This window comes from Homo sapiens, chromosome X (assembly GCF_000001405.40).
Source record: "Homo sapiens chromosome X, GRCh38.p14 Primary Assembly".
Lineage (NCBI taxonomy): Eukaryota > Metazoa > Chordata > Mammalia > Primates > Hominidae > Homo > Homo sapiens.
In genome coordinates, this window is record NC_000023.11 from 114,161,697 (window position 1) to 114,164,041 (window position 2,345).

The window sequence follows — 2,345 nt, forward strand, 5'->3', positions numbered from 1 at the left end:
TTAGCTTTTGCCCCATTTGTCTATTTTTTATTTGCCTGTGCTTTTGAGGTCTTAGCCATAAATTCTTTGCCTAAATCAATGCCCTGAATGTTTTGCTTGTTTTCTTCTAGCAACTGTAGAGCTTTAGGTCTTAGATTTAAGACCTTAATCCATCTTGAGTTTATTTTTTTAATATGGTGAGAGACAGGGGTCCAATTTCATTCTTCTGCATACAGATATCTAGTTTTCCCAGCACCATTTATTGAAGAGGGTGTATTTTCCCCAGTGTATGTTCTTGGCACTTTTATCAAAAAAGAGTTGGTGATCCCCAGGCCCCCAAGATGATGTGCTTGGGCACTGCAGGGGTGAGGCAAACTTGAGCTGGTGGAGCTTGTCCTCAGACCCCCTGTTGATGTGTGCAAATGTTGGCTGTGGTAGGCAGGGGTGGGGTGATCACCAGGTCCCCAGTGAAATGCTCAGGTGGAGGCAGCAGCAGCTGCACTATGGCCCTGCTCCTTGGGAGTGTGGTGTTGCTTTCAGTGGCAGCAGCCACAGGCAGGTGGCTGGAAAGCGTGTACTTTGGCTCTAGGTGGCGCTGTGGGTGAGTAGCCTGACCTCAGGGCGCCTGTAAATGCACAGCAGCCCCATTGCTGGGGGCAAAGAGATAACTGCCAATGGCTTGCACTTCAGCCTAGGCTGCAGCAGTTGGCAGCGGCCGTGGCTGTGGCTGAGGGATGTCAGTGGGGCTCCAGGGATGTGGAGACACAGGGATTGTTGAACCCCAAGGCTGGATGCAGCCTGGTGAGGCTGGACTCTTAAAATGGTGCTGTGCTGTAACTGCTGAGGACTCACGGGGTGTGTGAGATCCAGCATGAGCTCCCCTCTCTGGAGCAATGCCATCTCATAGTCTCCAGGCAGCTTCCTGTGTTAGTCTCAGGGCCTGGGACGGTCAAGCGGCTCTCCTATGCCTAGGATTGCAGGAGTCTACCGTGGGAATGTGAACCACTGGGGGTCTCTCTCAGTTACCCTTTGCCCTGCATTGGGAAACCTCTCCAGGCTCTCAGCTGATTCTGGCTGTGCAAGTTGCTTCGCTTCCCTCTCCTTCCTTGTCTTAGATGTTTCCTGTCATTTATCTGTTGTATTCCAATGTTCTGTCTTCATGATCTATTCAAAGTGTGATTATCTACTCACTATTTTGGTTCCTCTTTGTGGAGGAGGCAAGTACCTGATGCCTCTAGTCAGCCATTTTGAAGCCCCTCTTCTCCCAGAAGTCCTTTCTAGGAATCCGGTAGGAAAGAATTTAATACAAGGATTTAGAGGTTCACAAGCCTTTGTCAGAGCTGTGGAAATGAAGTTCAGGGAAGCTTCTGCTGCAGTTTATAAAATCAAGAAGTGGCAGGATTATAGGAAAGTCCATATGACCATCTCACTTGCCTGAAGTACTGAAAAAAGTGATTCATAGGAATTTATCCTATGAACCTAAAATAAACATGAATCTCAAAGAAAGCCACCATCACTAATCTCAGCTGCTAATAGTTTTAAGAGTGAAAGTTACCTCAAGCCACTGCAAAACTTTTATCTATTATCTGTTCATGCAGCTGCTCAACAATTGTCATCCGTTGTTCAGAGTTGCCAACTGGCTCTTTTGTTTTATCTTCATGATCTCACACAAGTGCCTGTTTTTTGAAAGACTTTAATTTGGAATCACACAAGGAAAGGGTTTCTGGGAAATGTAGTTTCAGATTTCTTCTATTCAATGAGGAGGAAACTGTAGGAGAGGATGGCAGTAATAATAAGCAGACAGAACAATAAAAATAAAACTACAAAATTATATTAAAATCCTTCTTTGTTGGAGCACCACAGTGGTTTTATTTTTCACTGACCAGCCCTGATGGATATACTTTTGATAGGGAGACAATATTATTATTATTAAATTAGCATCATAAACAATATAATAAACTGATAAGTCAGCTTATGTGCTTTGCATATAGATATTTAATCCTCATAACAACTCTATAAAAGTGAGTGGAAATATTACACTAAATGTTTATGCTGGAGACCCAAGGCAGAAAAGGTTAAGCAAATTGCTCAAGGTTTTGCAGCTAGATAACTAGTGGAGTCAGGATTTAAACACAGGTAGTCTGACTCCAGAATCTTTGATCTTAAACACTGTACTTTTGTATCTATTGTATCTCCCTTTCCTTCCTTCATCTTGCCTTTTATCCATCATCTAATTACAACTAATTATGTCATCGTTCTTAGTGTTTGACTTCATACTGCTAAATAATAGTATGCCTCTATTACTTTATATATTAACTTTAATGTTATTTTTGCCCTGAATATTAAAAATAAAGGAAAAAGTACAC

The 2,345-nt window shown here is 42.8% G+C and overlaps 1 annotated feature.

Moving 5' to 3' along the window:
* Positions 595 to 1,094: an enhancer, noted in NCBI's record as "H3K4me1 hESC enhancer chrX:113405505-113406004 (GRCh37/hg19 assembly coordinates)". NCBI's record gives its function as "activates a minimal SCP1, AML or CMV promoter by ChIP-STARR-seq in primed H9 embryonic stem cells {active_cell/tissue: H9 hESC(primed)}" and the evidence as "EXISTENCE:reporter gene assay evidence [ECO:0000049][PMID:30033119]".